General features: G+C 43.4%; 1 protein-coding gene across 5 annotated transcripts in view, besides 1 other annotated feature; it reads right to left on the bottom strand.

Annotated features, from left to right (window-relative positions):
- Window positions 1-17750, bottom strand: part of BLVRA (biliverdin reductase A) — a 49221-nt gene that overhangs the window by 8098 nt on the left and 23373 nt on the right. For all 5 annotated transcript variants that reach the window (XM_011515474.3, NM_001253823.2, NM_000712.4 and 2 more), the window contains 3 exons: window positions 11220-11341; window positions 7877-7996; window positions 6433-6530 (listed from right to left, as the gene is read on the bottom strand). In XM_011515474.3, the coding sequence (XP_011513776.1) occupies window positions 6433-6530; window positions 7877-7996; window positions 11220-11341 (340 nt within the window). The remainder of the gene's footprint in view (window positions 1-6432; window positions 6531-7876; window positions 7997-11219; window positions 11342-17750) is intronic.
- Window positions 14737-14886: an enhancer, noted in NCBI's record as "active region_25917". NCBI's record gives its function as "activates an Ori minimal core promoter by ATAC-STARR-seq in GM12878 lymphoblastoid cells {active_cell/tissue: GM12878}" and the evidence as "EXISTENCE:reporter gene assay evidence [ECO:0000049][PMID:35858748]".

Raw genomic sequence — 17750 nt, 5'->3', positions numbered from 1 at the left:
CTGCCAAATGCTCTGGGCTTGACCTGCACCTCAGGAGCAAGGAGGATGTCTGTCGCAGGAGTCTCCAGAAATGTCAGGTGTGTGGGAGGATGGGGTCCTTCCCACCCACTCCTTCAGACGTGAATGTGGCAAAAGGAACTTCTTGTGATAAGTAGAAGCTTTCTGGCACAAAATGGCTTTGCAACAACTAAATGGCACAAAATGCTTTGCAATAAGTACAAGCTTTTCTCCTCACAGGTAGTTTCGCCCACTGCCCCCCACCCCACCGTGAAACTCTGGGGAACATGTTATATTTTCCCCAGCACTATGTAACAGTCTCTGTGTTTCCACATCCATGGTTATTAAAGAAACTATGTATTTTCCAGCTGTGTCTTTTGTTGTTTTCCTGTCGTTCACTCAATGCCTGATTGTGATAAACACACATGGTAACCACAGTACACACACACATCCGTATCCATATATTCCCAGGTCTGTTCACTGAAAGGGCTTGCAGAGATAGCCCAAAGCCATAAGCACAAGCAGTGTCCAAATCTTGCCATCAAAACGTTATTAGCCATTGGAGAACTGACTAATTCCAAGGCTGAGGCAGAGAAAGTACAAGATGAGCCTTAACCACTTTGTGCCAGAAAGCAAGAATTCAAAGAATAATGGAAACATAACAAAATGACAAGGGAGCTGGCAGGAAGAGGTTCCCCACTGAGCAAATTTGGAACAATGTGGACATCAATATGAATAATAAAAAGTAACAACAGCACTGAATAGAAAAACAAAACAAAGCTATGAGTTTCTACTGATATAAAATAATAAATGAATATCAGACAGTGTGATGAGAATGGATATTTAACTAGTTATAAACTACCTTCTCACAAAATAATCACTGATTACAAAGGGAAAAAAAGTAACTTTCAGTGGAAAAGCCCGTCAGACACCACCTAATGAAGTGATATCATTAGTAATTAGATGAACTGATATTGGATGTTACCTGACAGAACACAATGTGAAAAACAGCATCGTTTCCTTTTTTTTTTTTTTTTTTTTTTTTTTTTTGTGAGATGGGGAGTCTCCCTCTGTCACCCAGGCTGGAGTATAGTGGTGCGATCTCGTCTCACTGCAAACTGTGCCTCCCGGGTTCAAGAAATTCTCCTGCCTCAGCCTCCCGAGTAGCTGGAATTACAGGTGCCCACATCATGCCTGGCTAATTTTTTTGATATTTTCAGTAGAGACGGGGTTTCACAGTGTAGGCCAGGCTGGTTTTGAACTCCTGACCTCAAGTAATCTGCCTGCCTTGGCCTCCCAAAGTGCTAGGATTACAGGTGTGAGCCACCATGCCTGGCCACTTGCATACTATTTCTGTGAAAGATGCATACCCCAAATCTAATCATGAAGAAACATCAGATATATTCAAATTTAGGGACATTTTACACAATAACTAACTGTAATATTCATAATTGTCAAGAAAAGATGGAGGAACTGTCCAGAATGAAGGACACTAAAAGTGACATGTCAATAAAAGATAATACATGATTTTGAACTCAGTCATTTTGCCATAAAGAATGTTATTGGGACAACTGGTGAAATTTGAATGAGGTTTGAGGATTAGATTGTTGTAATGTACCAATGCCAATTTCCAGATTTTGATGGTTGTATGCGGTTACATGCATACCTCAGAGATCCTGCAGGTTTCATTCCAGACCACCACAATAAAGTGAATATTGCAATAAAGGGAGTCACATGAATATTTTAGTTTCCCGGTTCATACACAAGTTATGTTTATACTATATTGTAGTTTGTTAAGTATGTGATAACACTATGTTTAGGAAAACAACGTACGTACCTTAATTTAAAAATACGTTATTGAGCTGGGCATGTTGGCCCATGCCTGTAATTCCAGCACTTTGGGAGGCTCAGGCAGGCGGATCACTTGAGGCCAGGAGTTCAAGACCAGCCTGGCCAACATGGCGAAACCCCATCTCTGCTAAAAATACAAAAATTAGCTGTGTGTGGTGGTGTGCACCTATAATCCCAGTTACTCAGGTGGCTGAGGCACAAGAATCACTTGAACCCAGGAGGCGGAGGTTTGCGCCACTGCGTTCAAGCCTAGGTAACAGGGCGAGACTGTCTTAAAAAACCAAAAAACAAAAACAAACAAAAAATGCTACCATCTGATCCTCCATCTTTTTGCTGAAGGAAGGTCTTGCTTCCATGTTGATGGCTGCTGACTGATGCTGGTGGTTACTGACGGTGGCTGTGGATTTGATTTGCATTTTCTATAAGGATTAGTGGTATTGAGCATCTTTTCATATGATTGTTTGCCGTCTGAATAACTTCTTCAGAAAAATGTCTATCCAAGTCCTTTGCCCATTTTAAAATCAGTTTATTTGGTTTGTTTGTTGTTGAGTTGTAGAGTTCTTTAGACATTCTGGATATTGATCTCTTATCAAAGATAAGATTTGCAGATATCTTCACCCATTACATAGACTGCTTTTTCACTCAGTTGATTGCTTCCTTTGAGGCACAGAAGGTTTTAAGTTTGATTAGTCCATTTGTCTGTTTTTTGCTTTTTTTGCCTGTGTTTTTGATGTCGTATGTAAGACATTATTGCCAAATCCAATATCTTGATGCTTTCCCATGTTTTCTTCTAACAATATTACAGTTTTAGGTCTTAAATTTAGTTCTTTAATCCATTTGAGTGAATTTTTTATATGGTGTAAGGTAAGTGTCCAACTTCATTCTTTTGCATGTGGATATCCTGTTTTCCTGGGACCACTTTTTGAAGAGACTGAAACACTTGGTAGAATTCTCCAGTGAAGCCATCTGGTTTTAGGCTTTTCTTTATTGGGAGGTGTTTAATTACTGGTTCAATCTCCTTACTAGTTATAAATCTGTTCAGATTTTTGTTTCTTCATGATTCAGTCTTAGTAGGTTATATGCTACTAGGTATTTATCCCTTTCTAGATTATCCGATTGTTGGAGTATAACAATTGTATAAGTGTTCATTGTAGTCTCATATAATCCTTTTTATTTCAGCAGCATTTGTTGTAATGTCTCCTCTTTCACTTCTGACTTTAGTTTGAGTCTTTACTCTTTTTTTCTTTTCTTTTCTTTTCTTTTTTTTTTTTTTTTGTGAGACAGAGTCTCGCTCTGTTGCCCAGGATGGAGTACAGTGGTGCAATCTCGGCTCACCACAACCTCCCCTCAGCACAACCTCCACCTCCTGGGTTCAAGTGATTCTCCTGTCTCAGCCTCCCGAGTAGCTGGGACTATAGGCATGTGCCACCATGCCTGGCTAATTTTTGTATTTTTAGTAGAGATGGGGTTGCACTATTTTGGCCAGGCAGGTCTTGGACTCTTGACCTTGTGATCTGTCCTCCTTGGCCTCCCAAAATGCTGGGATTACAGGCGTGAGCCACTGCACCCGGCCGACTCTTTTTTTTCTTAATCTGCTAAAATTCTGTCAATTTTATGGATTTTTTTCAAAAAAACTTGGTTTTGTTGATTTTTTTCTATTGCTTTTCTACTCTCTATTTTATTTATGTTCTAATCTTTACTTGCTTTTTTCTGCTAATTTTCGATTGAGTTTGCTCTTCTTTTCCTAGTCCCTTGAAATGTAAAGTTAGGATGTTGAATTGAGATCTTTCTTCTTGTTTAATGTAAGCATTTACAACTATCCACTTCTCTCTTAGTACTGCTTTCATTACATCTTGTCAGTTTTGTATTGTTTTGTTTTGTTTGAGCAGAGTCTCACTCCATCGCCCAGGCTGGAGTGCAGTGGTGCGATCTCCCTCACTGCAACCTCTGCCTCCTGGGTTTAAGCAATTCTCCTGCCTCAGCCTCCCCAGTAGCTGGGACTATATGTGCGCGCCACCACACCTGGCTAATTTTTGTATTTTTAGTAGAGATGGGGTTTCACCATGTTGGCTAGGCTGGTCTTGAAATCCTGACCTCAGGTGATTCGCCCGCCTCAGCCTCCCAAAGTGCTGGGATTACAGGCACAATCTATTTTTATTATTTATTTATGTATGTATTTAATTTCTGAGATGGAGTCTCACTGTGTCGCCCAGGCTAAAGTGCAATGCCACAATCTTGGCTCACTGCAACCTCCACCTCCTGGGTTCAAGCGATTCTCGTGCCTTAGCCTCTGGAGTAGCTGGGATTACAGGCACGTGCCACCAGGCCCAGCTAATTTTTGTATTATTAGTAGAGACGGAGTTTCACCATGTTGCCCAGGCTCCTCTTGAAATCCTGACTTCAGGTGATCCACCAGCCTCGGCTTCCCAAAGTGCTGGGATGACAGGCATGAGCCACCACACCCGACTGCATAATCTATTTTAAACTGCTAACAACTTAACTCAATCACATACAAAATTCTACTCCTTTATATCTCTGACCCCCCATTTTGCTATTAATGTTACCAATTACATCTTTTTATACTATACATCCATTAACATAGTTTGTATTTTTTTGTCTTTTAAATTCTATGCCAGGATTTAAAGTGATATTTATTTATTTAGAGATAGAGTTTCATGGTGTTACCCAGGCTGGAGTGCAGTGGCACCATCTCAGCTCACTGCAACCTCCGCCTCCCAGGTTCAAGCAATTCTGCTGCCTCAGCCTCCTGAGTAGCTGGGACTACAGGCAAGCGCCACCACGCCCAGCTAATTTTTTTATTTTTAGTAGAGATGGGGTTTCACCATGTTGGCCAGGATGGTCTTGAACTCCTGACCTCAAATGATCTGCTTGCCTCGGCCTCCCCAAGTCCTGGGATTACAGGCTTGAGCCACCGTGCCTGGCCTAAAGTGATTTATATGTCAACATTACAATACTACGGAAGTCTGTATTTGTCTATATATTTACCTTTACCAGAGAGCAATATTTTTGTGTTGCTGTCTAGTGTTTTCACTTTAACTTGAAAGACTTCCTTTAGCATTTCCTGTAGGGCAGGTCTAGTAGTGATCAACTCACTTGGTTTTTGTTTGTCTGGGTAGGTCTTTTAAAGAATTTTTATTTTTATTTTTGAGACAGGGTCTCACTCTGTTGCCCAGACTAGAGTGCAGTGGCCCGATCATGGTTCAGTGCAGCCTCAACCTCCTAAGGTTCAGGTGAACTTCCAAGTAGCTGGGACTACCGGTATGCACCACCACACCCAGTTAATTTTTGTATTTTCAGTAGAGATGGGGTTTCACCATGTTGCCCAGGCTGGTCTCAAACTCCTGGGCTCAAATAATCTATCCATCAGAGCCTCCTAAAGTGCTGGGATTACAGGTGTGAGCCACTGTGCCCAGCTGAGTCTTTTTTTTTTTTTCTTGTAATTAAAAATTTTGTATGCCGGGCACGGTCACTCATGCCTGTAATCCCAGCACTTTGGGAGGCCGAGGTGGGTGGATCGCGAGGTCAGGAGTTTGAGACCATTGTGTCCAACATCGTGAAACCCCATCTCTACTAAAAATACAAAAATTAGCTGGGCATGGTGGTGGGCGCCTGTAATCCTAGCTACTCAGGAGGCTGAGGAAGGAGAATCCCTTGAACCCAGGAGGCGGAGGTTGCAGTGAGCTGAGATGGTGCCATTGAACTCCAGCCTGGGTGACACAGCAAGACTCTGTACCCCACCAAAAAAAAAAAAAAAAAAGTTGTAAAAGATTTTTGTAGAAACAGGGTCTCATTATGTTGCCCAGGGTTGTCCCAAGCTCCTTGGCCTCCCAAAGTGCTGGGCTGACAGGGCATGAGCCACTGCGTCTGGCCTGGGAAAGTCTTAATTTCTCCCTTCTGGAGGGTGGTATGGCTTAGGGGAACAAATGTGAACTTAAGAGCCCTGTAGGATTTGATTAAAATCTCTACCTCCCACTTAGTAGTCATGTTATTAGCTTTGTGACCTGGCACAAATTAACTTCTTTGAGCCATATTTTTCTATACAGCATCTAGAGAAAATATATACCTCCAAGGGATTCTAGAAGAATTAAGCAAAATAACATATGAAGTGCTTAGCAGAGTTTCCAAGTTCCTAGCATATACTAAATATTTAATAAATGGTTATTCCTGTTTAGAAACAACAAAAACTACAAACTATGCAAATAAGACAATCAGTTTCTCTGATTTGAGCATTTTTAGGATATCCCAGCATTTAGCAATATAAGTATCACATGAATAAAGCCAAAATAATATCATGACATAAGCATAGGTGAAAACTAATTCATATTTTTTCCTTAGAGTGAGTAAAATAAGCTGATAAGCTTTGACCAAAAGTTTGCAAATTCCCACCCATCCTTCTGCCCTCCACTATCTGTGTTTACAGTGTGGGGGTGAGGAGGCAGTTGGGAGCCCACAGTGCCAGTGTAGCCAGGAGGAGGAGATATCTGAAATGGGGTTAAGTTTTAAAGGCATAAAGATGATATCACAGAAATCCTGGAGGCAGAAACTCTTGGTAAGATACATTACCTTTCTGCTCAGCCAGCTCCCACAGTTCCTGAGCGGCCGCCAATGACAGTGTCATGGGGTATTCCACAAGGACGTGCTTGCCAGCATTAAGGAACTGCCTTTGGTAAACGAGACAAATACAGAGAAAGAACACTTCGAATAAGCTTCACTGAAATGCTCTGCATAATAGAGAACAGAATGTTATAAAGGCATGAGAGTTTCTGTGTGTGAATGTGTCATGACTGGGGGTAGGAGTCAGTGCCACGGGATATGGAGGAAGAACTGTATCCCACATTGTTTTCTACTATCCTGTGACAGATCAACTTTCTGGTTATGTGTTAATTTGAACATTCAACCATTCATTTATTCAACTAAGTACTATTTACCAATTACTGTGGAGGAGAAATAAAGACACATTAACAAATAAATTTCCTATCACCACATGGTAGCTATAAAGGCTACAAAACCCACAGCGGCTAGCTTTGCCTGAGGCAGTCTGAAAAGATTTCACTAAGGACCTATGAACTGGGTCTCAAAGTATGAGCAGACATTTTCCAGGTGCAACATGTGAGTATATTTCACTGTGAGCAGCGTATGCAGGGGCTTGGGCATTTGTGGGGCTTTGTTCAATCGGCAAACTTCAGTGTGGCAGGGGAGTGGACTACAGGCCGTGGAGGATAATAACGTTGGAAAAGTAGCTGGGGGCCTGACTGTGAAGGACCTACAATTCTGTGCTCAGCAGTTCAGATTTCATTCTGTGGATACCAGAGTACAAATATTTATAAGCATGGGACTTATGTCAGAATCACTTTTCTTAAGGAAATACACTCTGGTGCCAGAAAAGGTTAAGGAAAGCCAAGGAGAGGTGTTTTTGTCTACTCTAGAGCTAGACTGATAAAGAGGAAGCATCTTACCCGTGGGAAACAGCATGGTGGGAGCAGCTGTAAGAACCTAGAAGGAAGCTAGACTGAGGAAGGCAGCTGGCACTTCCCTGTTAGCTGCCAGGTCCTGAGGGTTAAAGGAACTCAACCGTTATTTTATGACATTGAAAGCACAAAGGAGAAAACGTTGGAAGCTGATCCAAACTGAGAAGGGAGTATGATAATTTGCCAAGGATGCCGGCTCCACATCCTAAACTGTCTGGTGAGAAGAAGGAGGCCACTACTGTTGAAAACTACTCTCGATGGGTTTTTACAGAGAAATAAAACACTTTAATTCTGAATGTTTCTAATGTTTCAAATTACACATACTAAATATTAATTTTACTATTTTTCACTTCCTTATATATTTATAACCAGCAATAAGAATTTCTTAATGTTTTGACACTTCTGTGATTGGTCACAGAGCAATTGTAATTTTCTCACTGGCTCTTCTGACTCCTTTGCAGGGTGTTTTAGCTTGCTTGCTCATTTTTGCAGTACTGCACTGCTGTGTAAGGCAAGGACTGCCTGTGTGGAAAACCCACCTGATGTAGTCCTCATGGCTGGAGCTCTCACTGCAGATATAGGCGACCTCCACCTCTTGGCTGGAAAGAGCATCCTCCAAAGAAATCTGCTGGACTCCATCAATGCTCCCGAGCTCCCTTCTATTTCAGAGTAACAGAGAAATGGAACTCAATGGTAGACAGAAGAAAGGAGCACCATCCTTCTCCCCTCCTCCCGACAGGTCCTGGTGATCTGCTGCCAGAAATGAAGAAATGAGTTTCTTCTCTCCCACTTCCAGGCTATTTTCCATTGTGGAGTGAGAAAAATAGCCTCAGAGTTCAAGTCAGGGGATCTGGCATTGAGTGCCAACAGTACCATTCACAGCGTGTATGACCTGGGAGAGTCTTGAATTACTTCATCTCCAAAACAAAAGAAACAGCTGGGCGCGGTGGCTCAAGCCTATAATCCCAGCACTTTGGGAGGCCGAGGTGGGTGGATCACTTGAGGTCAGGAGTTCAAGACCAGCCTGGCCAACATGGTGAAAACCTGTATCTACAAAAAATACAAAAGTTAGCCAAATGTGGTGGTGGGCGCCTGTAATCCCAGCTACCTGGGAGGCTGAGGCAGGAGAATCACTTGAATCCGGGAGATGGAGGTTGCAGTGAGCCGAGATTGCACCACAGCACTCCAGCCTGGGTGACAGAGCAAGACTCCTCAAAAATAAAATAACATAAAAATAAAAGGAACAATCTACTTTTATCTCATGAGAAGTGATCTCTATGGTCACTTCCAGTTCCAAGCACTTGGCCAAACATTGTGACTACCAAACCTAATCCAAATCCAATACGTTAACACATTTAGGGTGCAAACTGGCATGCGACTTCGAGCTACTTTATAGCTAAGCTAACGAAGCCCAGTAGTATGTACGCACACATGTTTGTGTGTGTGTGTGTCTGTGTGTGTGTTTGTGTGTGTGTGTGTGTCTTCCTCCCTCTGGCCGACTGAGCTCATTGGAAGGTGAGGAATTCGTTCTCCATGATTTCTCCTATAATGCCTAGCACATAATAGGCAGTGATAGCCTTGACTAACCAGGAGCAGAAGCAGGAGGGGAACCCAAGGCCTTCTGACTCTTCTAGAGCATGGGGGAGCTGCAGTCTTCGAAGAGCCAAAGCCCCAGCAGTCCGTACACCTCCCAGTGCAGCGGCTGGGGCAGGAGAGTAGCCCTCTAAGGGTGGCAGTCATGGGGGAATGTGGGACAGCTAGCAAGCAGAAGGCCCTCAGCCCGCTCAGAGCTCCAGCTGAGCTGCAGCAGGCAGAAAGCATTCAGGAAAATTTAGCTCCCAAAGAGTATTATGCTAGGTTTCTTTAATGGGGCCACCCAAACTAAATTGCTCAATTTCAGCAATACTTATTGTTTGCCTATTATGTACTAGGCGCTGTAGGAGAAATCATGGAGAACAAATTAAAATCATCGCCTTTCAATGAGCTCAGTCAGCTAGAGGAAGACACACACACACACACACACACACACACGTACATACCACTACCACAAGACTACCAGGAGAAATGTGGTGCTTGGAAGTAGGAGATGGAGACTCAGGGTGGGAAAGGAATACACCAGAAAAGCTTCCTGGGGAGGAGGTAGAACTTAGCAGGTAGGTCAGGAAGGGAAGGGTATGTGAAGAGGGAAACAGTGTGAGTACTGGCAGGGCTGTCATGCAGGGGTGTGACCTGGCCATCCTCCCATACAACCTGGGTAGTGTAGGTGTTCCCACTGAGCTGACCCTGGAAGCCAACTGGCAGAGGACTGGGGCTTAAGGGAAAAGGAAAGGTCCCATTTCAGCCTTGCGCCCAAGTGCTGTGTGTGGTCCCAGCTCCAGATAGGGGTGCGATGGGGGTTACGGTGCTGCCTGATCTTAACTTTGCTCTCCCATTTGTGTGCAGCTCCCTTGGAATCTTATGGGGAGGAGAAGGCTGGCCCAAGGGCAGATTCTAGCACTTCTGGGTCTCCCTGGTGCTTCCAAGCCCATTTTAAATCCTTAAAAGTGGGGCCATGTTTTGAGACAGGCCGGAAGAGGATGGCCCCATGAATGAAAACATGAAAAAATTTCTACATAGACTATCACAATTGTTACTTATGCTTTGTGTAAATATTTATCTGATGTCTCTAAAGCACTAGAAAAAGAGTTGCCTAACTTGCTCACTACCATGTCTTCAGGCCCAGCCCAGTGCCTGCACCTAGTCCAAAATTAATATGGATAAATGATGTTACACAGGATTAGTCTGGTGCCTGTATCTAGTTCACAATTAATATTGACAAATGATGTTATACAGGATTAGTCTGGTGAGTGGTGCGTGTGTGTGTGTGTGTGTACAGGGGTGAGTGGAAAATTTGAGCATGGGGGAAGAAGAAACAAGGTGATAAGTTTGATTTTGACTGGAGATAAATGAATCCTTAAAGAAAAGGGGGAGGCTGGGTGCACTGGCTCACGCCTATAATCTCAGCACTTTGGGAGGCCGAGGCAGGAGGATCACTTGACCCCAGGAGTTTGAGACCAGTCTAGGCAACATAGGGAGACCCTGTCTCTACAAAAAAAAAAAAAAAATTATCCAGGCGTGGTGGTGTGTGTGTCTGTAGTCCCAGCTACTCAGAAGGCTGAGGCAGGAGGACCACTTGAGCTGTGAGGCGGGAGGATCACTTGAGCCCAGACGGTCAAGGCTGCAGTGCGCTGTGATTGCACCATTGCGCTGCAGCTTGGGTGACAGAGTGAGACTCTGTCTCAAAAAAAATAATAATAATAATAAAAGTGAGGCTCAAAATTACCAATGGCAAAAGAACACATGGTGTTTAAAAGATGGGCTTTGGAAACAGACTTCTGCTCAACTTCAGTTCTTAGACTTTCCAGCTGTGTGACCTCAGGCAGATTACTTAACCTTTCTGTGGTTCAGCCTCCTTATCTGTAAACTGGGGGGTTAATAACACTACGCAGAAGGAAATATCACATGTAGAGCCCAGGACCACCTAGGATGGCTGTCATGATGACTATGTCAGGATTCCCCGGTGCACACCGAAAGCCTTTCAGGCCAAAGCCCCATGCATGTGTTTTCTGTGCCCCTTCTCTAACTGTCAGCCTTGAGCTCACCCTCCTGCCTCTGTCTTCCAGTCTCCCAGGCCAACCTACTGTGCATCCCAGCTGCAGGCCCAGCAAGCTTCAGTTCCCAGACCCATCCCAACCTGAGATCTTATGGGGCTGACCCTAAGCACAGTTCTCAGTTGGGAGATGGCTCTCCCTGCCCTGGGTCTGGAAAATCTCCATGTCCTGCAGCTAATCCGCCTCACTGGGCTTTCCATGAATTATGAAGCACAAAGACATTGTGAGCCACCTCGACACGAAGCCAATCAGGTTCAGGAACGCTGAGGAAGGGTGTGGATTCCGCAAGTCCCTCATCCGCACGGAGCCGGCTCGGCCAACACCAACCACCACCACGCCAAACTTCCTCTCGGGCTGAAACACAAGGGACCAAGGTGGAGTCTGAAAACACTGTAGGCATCGAGCAGAAAACTACAAAACAAAGGAGCTGGCAGGGTCCCGACGAGCAAGATGGAAGCCAGCCCAAAACACACAGGAAGCCACAGCATCAGGATGGGATGAGACAGTCCCCGAAATGGGGGCTTGGAGAGAAGTCAGTCCCGCCAAAACCTGTTCTTGAAGGTGCTCCACCATGTCTTTAGGTTGAAAACCTTCCGAGTACCCACAGAAAGTGTTCCCCCAATTTGGCTCTCCACTTCTACTGCCCCATCTCCAATAATGAGGGAGCTTTCCCCATTAACCCAGACCCAGCCCATGGCCTGGTACTTCTGCCCTCCCTGGGTCCCTCCTCCAGTGGACACATGAATCTGATACTACTGGGAGTCATTCAGAGGGCACAGCTTCTTCATCAGATGCTGGCAGAGGAGGCAAATGGGCAAACCATGATTGGTCACCTTACTCAGCGTGGGATCCAGAGGCTTTGACTCTTCACTACAGCCTTCTGAGTTCCACATTTAAGATACTGCAGTATCTTAAATATTATTTAAGTGCACTGCTGGAGGCTGTATGTGAACAGTATTACAGTGAAAAATCAAACTGACTTTTAAGTTATACAGCAACTCAGTATAATAAAAACTGATAAAATTTATCTCCATGCACTGGGCACGGTGGCTCACGCCTGTAATCCCAGCACTTTGGGAGGCCGAGGCAGGTGGATCACTTGAGGTCAGGAGTTCCAGACCAGCCTGGCCAACATGGAGAAACCTCGTCTCTACTAAAAATACAAAAATTAGCTGGGCCTGTTGGCAGGCGCCTGTAATCCCAGCTACTTAGGAGGCCGAGGCAGGAGAATTGCTTGAACCTGGGAGGCGGAGATTGCAGTGACCCAAGATAGCGCCACTGCACTCCAGCCTGGGTGACAGAGTGAGACTCTATCTCAAAAAAAAAAAAATTATCTCCATGCATCCCTTAAACTCACTTCTTGGATGCCTCTGAGCATAGAAACATGAATGTCATCTCAGATTTGCCCCTTTTCTTCACCTCTGTACCCAGTTGTCACCACTTCCCACTGACTCTGCCCCTCTTCCTGTGCCCACTGCTCTTGTCTTCTCCTTCCAGGATTTCTTCCAAATGTTTGGGGATTTGCCAAATGTTTTTCTATTATTGATTTCTCATTTAATCCCACTGTGGTCAGAGAACATTCTTTAAATGATTTGAATCCTTTTAGATTTATTGAGATATTTTATGATACGGGATGTGGTCTACCTTGGTTAATGTTCTGGGCACACTTGAAAAGAATGTGTATTCTGCTATTGTTGGGTGGAGTGTTCTATAAGTCTGTTAGATCAAGTTGGTTGATTGTGTTGTTCAGGTCTTCGTATCCTTCCTGATTTTCTGTCTCCTTGCTCTAGCAATTATTGAGGGTAGAGAAATCTCTGAATATAATTGTATATAACTGTGTATTTCTCCTTTCAGTTCTATCAGTTTTGACCCACATATTTCAAAACTCTGTTATTAGATACATACAAGTTTAGGATGGTTATGTCCTTTTTTTTAATTGACCCCTTTATCTTTCTAAAATGACCATTTTTATTCCTGGTAATATTTTTTGCCCTATAATTTATTTTGTCTGATATTAACAATCCATTCCCAATTTCTGTTGATCAGTGTTGCATAATACATTTTTTCCCCAACCTTTCACATTTAATCTATATGTGTTTTCATAGCTATAGTTAGTTTCTTATAGGCAGCATATAGTTAGGTCTTGCTTTTTTTTACTCAGTCTAACAATCTCTGCCTTTTAGTTGAAACGTTTAGACAATTTACATTGTGATTATTGATATGGTTGGGTTTCCATTCAAATTCTATAGAAATCCTGCTATTTGTTCAATCTGTTCTTTTTCCCCTCTTTTCCTGCCTTATTTTGGATTAATTAGAATATTTATTATGATTCCATTTTATCCCATTTGTTGGCTATTAGCTATAACTCTTTTTCAGAAGTTAAGGATTTTATATTATATATTTTACTTACCACAGTCTACTTTAAAGTAATATTATGCACTATTCCACATATACTATAAAGAACCTGACAACAGTACACTTCCATTTCTTTTCTCCTAGACCTTGTACTGTTGTTATACAATTCAATATTGAAGCGAGAGATTCTCCAGAACTTGCCCAGAAGCCAAGACGTCTGGAAAGGATCTCAGCCTCTGTCAGCCTGCAGCTTGGGAAGAGTGATTCACAGAGCCTGACTGTCCACTGCTGCTAAACCATACACTGGCCTTGGCTCACACATCTGACTGAACTGTCTCCTATGACTAACTGCCTCTCTTTCTTCAGCCTTGCAAGTTTCCTGGGAGTCCTGGGAGTGGACTTCACATATAAAAGGGGACTCTGGGAGACCTAGTTCCTGGCTTCTCTTCTGGAAGTCAGGGAAGAGTATAGGAAGGAGTGGCCACAGTGCCCAACTGACAATTGACAATTTCACCAAGTAAGTCCTTTTTGGGTTACTAGTCTTGTTTTCTTTTCTTTTTTTTTTTTTTTGGTAATTTCTAATTACCAAAAAGCAGTAAGACAGCCTCTGGAGAAATCTGTACAGCCAAAACACATATTAATGATCAAATATTAATATTTGTTTCCCTTTCAATCAAGAAAAGAAGACTAGCAATCCCCTTATTAGGTTAAATATTTATGGCATTCTTAAGGTTACCGTATTACTACATTCCAGATAATAACCAGGATATGCTTCTACCAGCTTAAAAAAAAGGCACAAGGTTAAGAAACAGCTCCATTATCTATAAATAAGCCAAACTGCTTTTTAAGATTTCATTAGTTAATGATACACACAAACTTGCATACAAAACCTGGCTTGCACAGTGTGTCAGGCTAAATTATAAACTGCTTTAGGATTTGGTTTCGATATTACTGCCTTGCAAAACTGACACACAGGGACAAGATATGGGTGAAAGGCCCAGTGCAGTAGCTCATGTCTGTAAACCCAGCACTCTGGGAGGCTGAGGTGGGCGGATCACTTGAGGTCAGGAGTTTCCAGACTTGCCCGACCAACATAGTGAAACCCTGCCTCTACTAAAAATACAAAAAATTAGCCAGGTATGGTGGTGGCGGGTGCCTGTAACCCCAGCTACTTGGTAGCCTGAGGCAGGAGAATCGCTTGAACCGGGGAGGCAGGGGTTGCGGTGAGCCAAGATTGCACCACTGCACTTCAGCCTGGGCGACAGAGCAACACTCCATCTCAAAAAAAAAAAAAAAAAAAAAAAGATATGAGTGAAGACACTGGTATCTTAATAGTCAAGCTGCTCTTAGGGGAAGAACTTTATTTTTGAGAAAAATTACTTGTTAGGCCTTTTAACGTGAGCCTCTTCATTTTACATGAGGGATCTTGAAGGTGCGTTCTGAAGGGAAACTGCAAATCAGAGATGGCTAGACCACTCTGTAGTAGCAGCTAAAACTTTGGGGCTAGGAACCAGTAGGAGGCAGAGGAAAGGGGAAAGTGCACGCAGGTTAGCAAAAGGCTAAAATCTGCAGAGAAGGAAGCCAGTGAGAAACGCCCAGTGGAGGAGGGAGCAATGGACTTCCAGAAACCAGGACATCCACAGTTCCATTTTCAGTTGTCTGCTGTGCTCTGCTATCCTGAACCTTTGGGAAAATGCCACTACAAATAGCCCTATAGAGGTGGTATTTAAGGAACAAAGAACAGGAGCAGTTTTGAGACAGCAGAAAAGGACACATAAGCACAGCAAAGTGACTAAAAAACTCACTTAGGTCCAAATCACAGTCACAGAGTGAGCTTGCGCCCCCACCCTTGGACTCAGAGAAGCTGGTGTTTGGCACTCCAGATGCAAAAATGGAGTTCATAGTTAGGAATGTGCTCTGCCAACTTAGAAAAAAAATTTTTTTTGAGATAAAGAGGGTAGAAGAAAATGTAAAATCACTGTAGAAAAACTTCAAGGTGAGGCATGAGGGCAGGTGCTGAAAAGGTGGAAGGAGAGTCCAGGCAGTTGGACAGAACAAACTAGTCGTTTTCATCCACTATTTGCAAGAATTAAAAAAAAGTTTGATAACACATTGGTTGGCCTGGGGAAACAGGTATGTTCATATGTTGCAGGAGGGAGAGAAGAACCTGCTTTATGGAGAGCAACTTGGAAATATTTATTACAAATTAAAATGCAAATGCCCTTTGTTCTGGTAAATCCAACTGTAAGATAATGTGTCCTATAGAGCTACACAAGTCAAGTGACTTAGGCTTACTGCAGCCTTGCTTATAACAAGCAAAAGATGGAAATAATCTATATGTCATTAATAACAGGCTGGCTATGAAAGTTATGATAGACTCGTGATATAGAGTATTACATGGCAATATAAAAATAAAAGAACGAGGAAGCCCTTTATATATTGAAAGGGACTGGTCTCCAAGATAGATGATCGGGTGAAAGAAGCAAACGACAGCCTAGTGTGCACTGTGTGCTACAGTCTGTGTAGTAACAGGAGGGGTGGTAGCCAAAGGAAAAAGATACTGTCTATGTTTAGAATCTCTTTGAAAGGACAGCCCAGAAACCTGTAACACTGAAACTGGCGACATGCTCTTGCTGGGAGCAAGAAAAACAGAGTGGCTGGGAAACAGGGATAGGAGGGAAGAAGGCTTCTCATAGAAAATATTTTTTTTTCTTTTTTTCCTCTTTAAAGTTTAGAATCACACAAATGTATTCACTATCTAAAATATAAACCACCACTGAAAACAGACATAAATATCAGAGGGCTGCTCTAGGAAGGTGAGAATTCTGCAGTGTATAGCGCCTTGGCTCACTCCCGCTTCCCTTCCTGGAGCTCCCTCTACAGTGCTCAGAGTCCTCTGCTGCCCCTGCCCCTGCCCTGTCCAATGACCCCAAGTGCCCCAGACTCCTCTCACCCCTCCTGGCCCTGCTGCAATTGGTTTTCACTCCCATACCTCCCTGCTTCACCGTGGGTCATCCAAGACCTTCTCATCACATTCAAGGGCTTCTTCTCAGCCACATCCTCCTGGACTTCAGACATGAGTGACCCTTACCTGGACCTTCTTCAAACTCACTCCTTCCTTTCTTCTCTTACCTCATGCTACCGAGGTTTTCTTTTCACATTTCACTTTCTTTCTTCATTTTACCCAAGATGTGCATATTTCCCAAAGCTCAGTCTTCATCCCTCTATTTTTCTCTCTCTCCCATGTCCCCAGAATATGGGGGTCCCTCATTCTCAGGGTTTCCATGACCACCTCTATGCCAAAGACCCTAGCATCCTGAGCTGTGGGCCATCCTCTCTTCCAAGCCGCATTCCCAAGGCATTTCAACCTGGCTTTCCCACCGCGCCCTGGATCTTCACGCTGTGTGCTAAACTCCAATTATCCACCCTTCCTGACAGGTTGTACTCTGAACTTCTGGGCAAAAGCCAGTAGCTCTAGGAATCCTGGCAGCCCCCAGCTTTAAATGCTTGGAGTCATTCCTGCATTCAACAAACATCCTGGGATCAAAGCCCGACTGTGGCCGATGGTCCTTCTTCTGTCTTTCTCCCTCCAGCCAGCCTCTGGGCCACAACTAGTTTTGCTTGAAAATTTCTGTCATATGATTTCCTTTCTCTACACTTTCACTGACCCTCCCAAGCTCTGGATTGCATTAGAAGATTACTTAACAGTCTCTGAATCATCCTATCATTTAGTCAACTGATAATTAGTGAAGATAAGCTATGCATGAGGCATCAAGTCAGATGCCATGGGGATGCTAAGATGAGCGAGGCACCCCGACAGCTACAGTCAAAGCAGGAGGGGAAGGTAACGAAAGAAAAGATACATAAAGCACAATGGAAATTCATAAGAGGGAGGTATGACTTCCCGAGAGAGGACTCTTGAGAAAACTGTTTGTGCAGTACAAAGGACATTTGAACTGGATGGATGGGATTAGCTGGATATAGGCAAGAACAAAGGCATTCATGGGTCAAAAACATCAGGGCTTAGATCTCTGTGATGCTCCTTAACCCCCTGTGACTTACAGCAATTGACTTATTGCTCATTTTCCTCATCTACAAAATGGGTAATAATAGCATCTTGCTCCTAGGCCTTTTGTTAGGACTAAATGGATGCACATTCTGGGCTGCTGTGTAGCAGATTAACTATATATCTTTAACATACAGAAAAATGGAGAATGAGATATAAATGATATAAAATACAATTATGTACATTAAAAGTATATCAGGCTGGGCACTGTGGCTCATGCCTGTAATCCCAGCACTTTGGGAGGTCGAGAGGCATTTGGGTCACTTGAGGTCAGGAGTTCAAGACCAGCCTGGCCAACATGGCAAAACTCAGTCTCTACTAAAATTAGCTGGGTGTGGTGGC

Source organism: Homo sapiens, chromosome 7, assembly GCF_000001405.40.
Source record: "Homo sapiens chromosome 7, GRCh38.p14 Primary Assembly".
Taxonomy (NCBI): domain Eukaryota; kingdom Metazoa; phylum Chordata; class Mammalia; order Primates; family Hominidae; genus Homo; species Homo sapiens.
The sequence above is the reverse complement of the archived record's forward strand: the minus strand, read 5'-3'. Positions and strand labels throughout refer to the sequence as shown.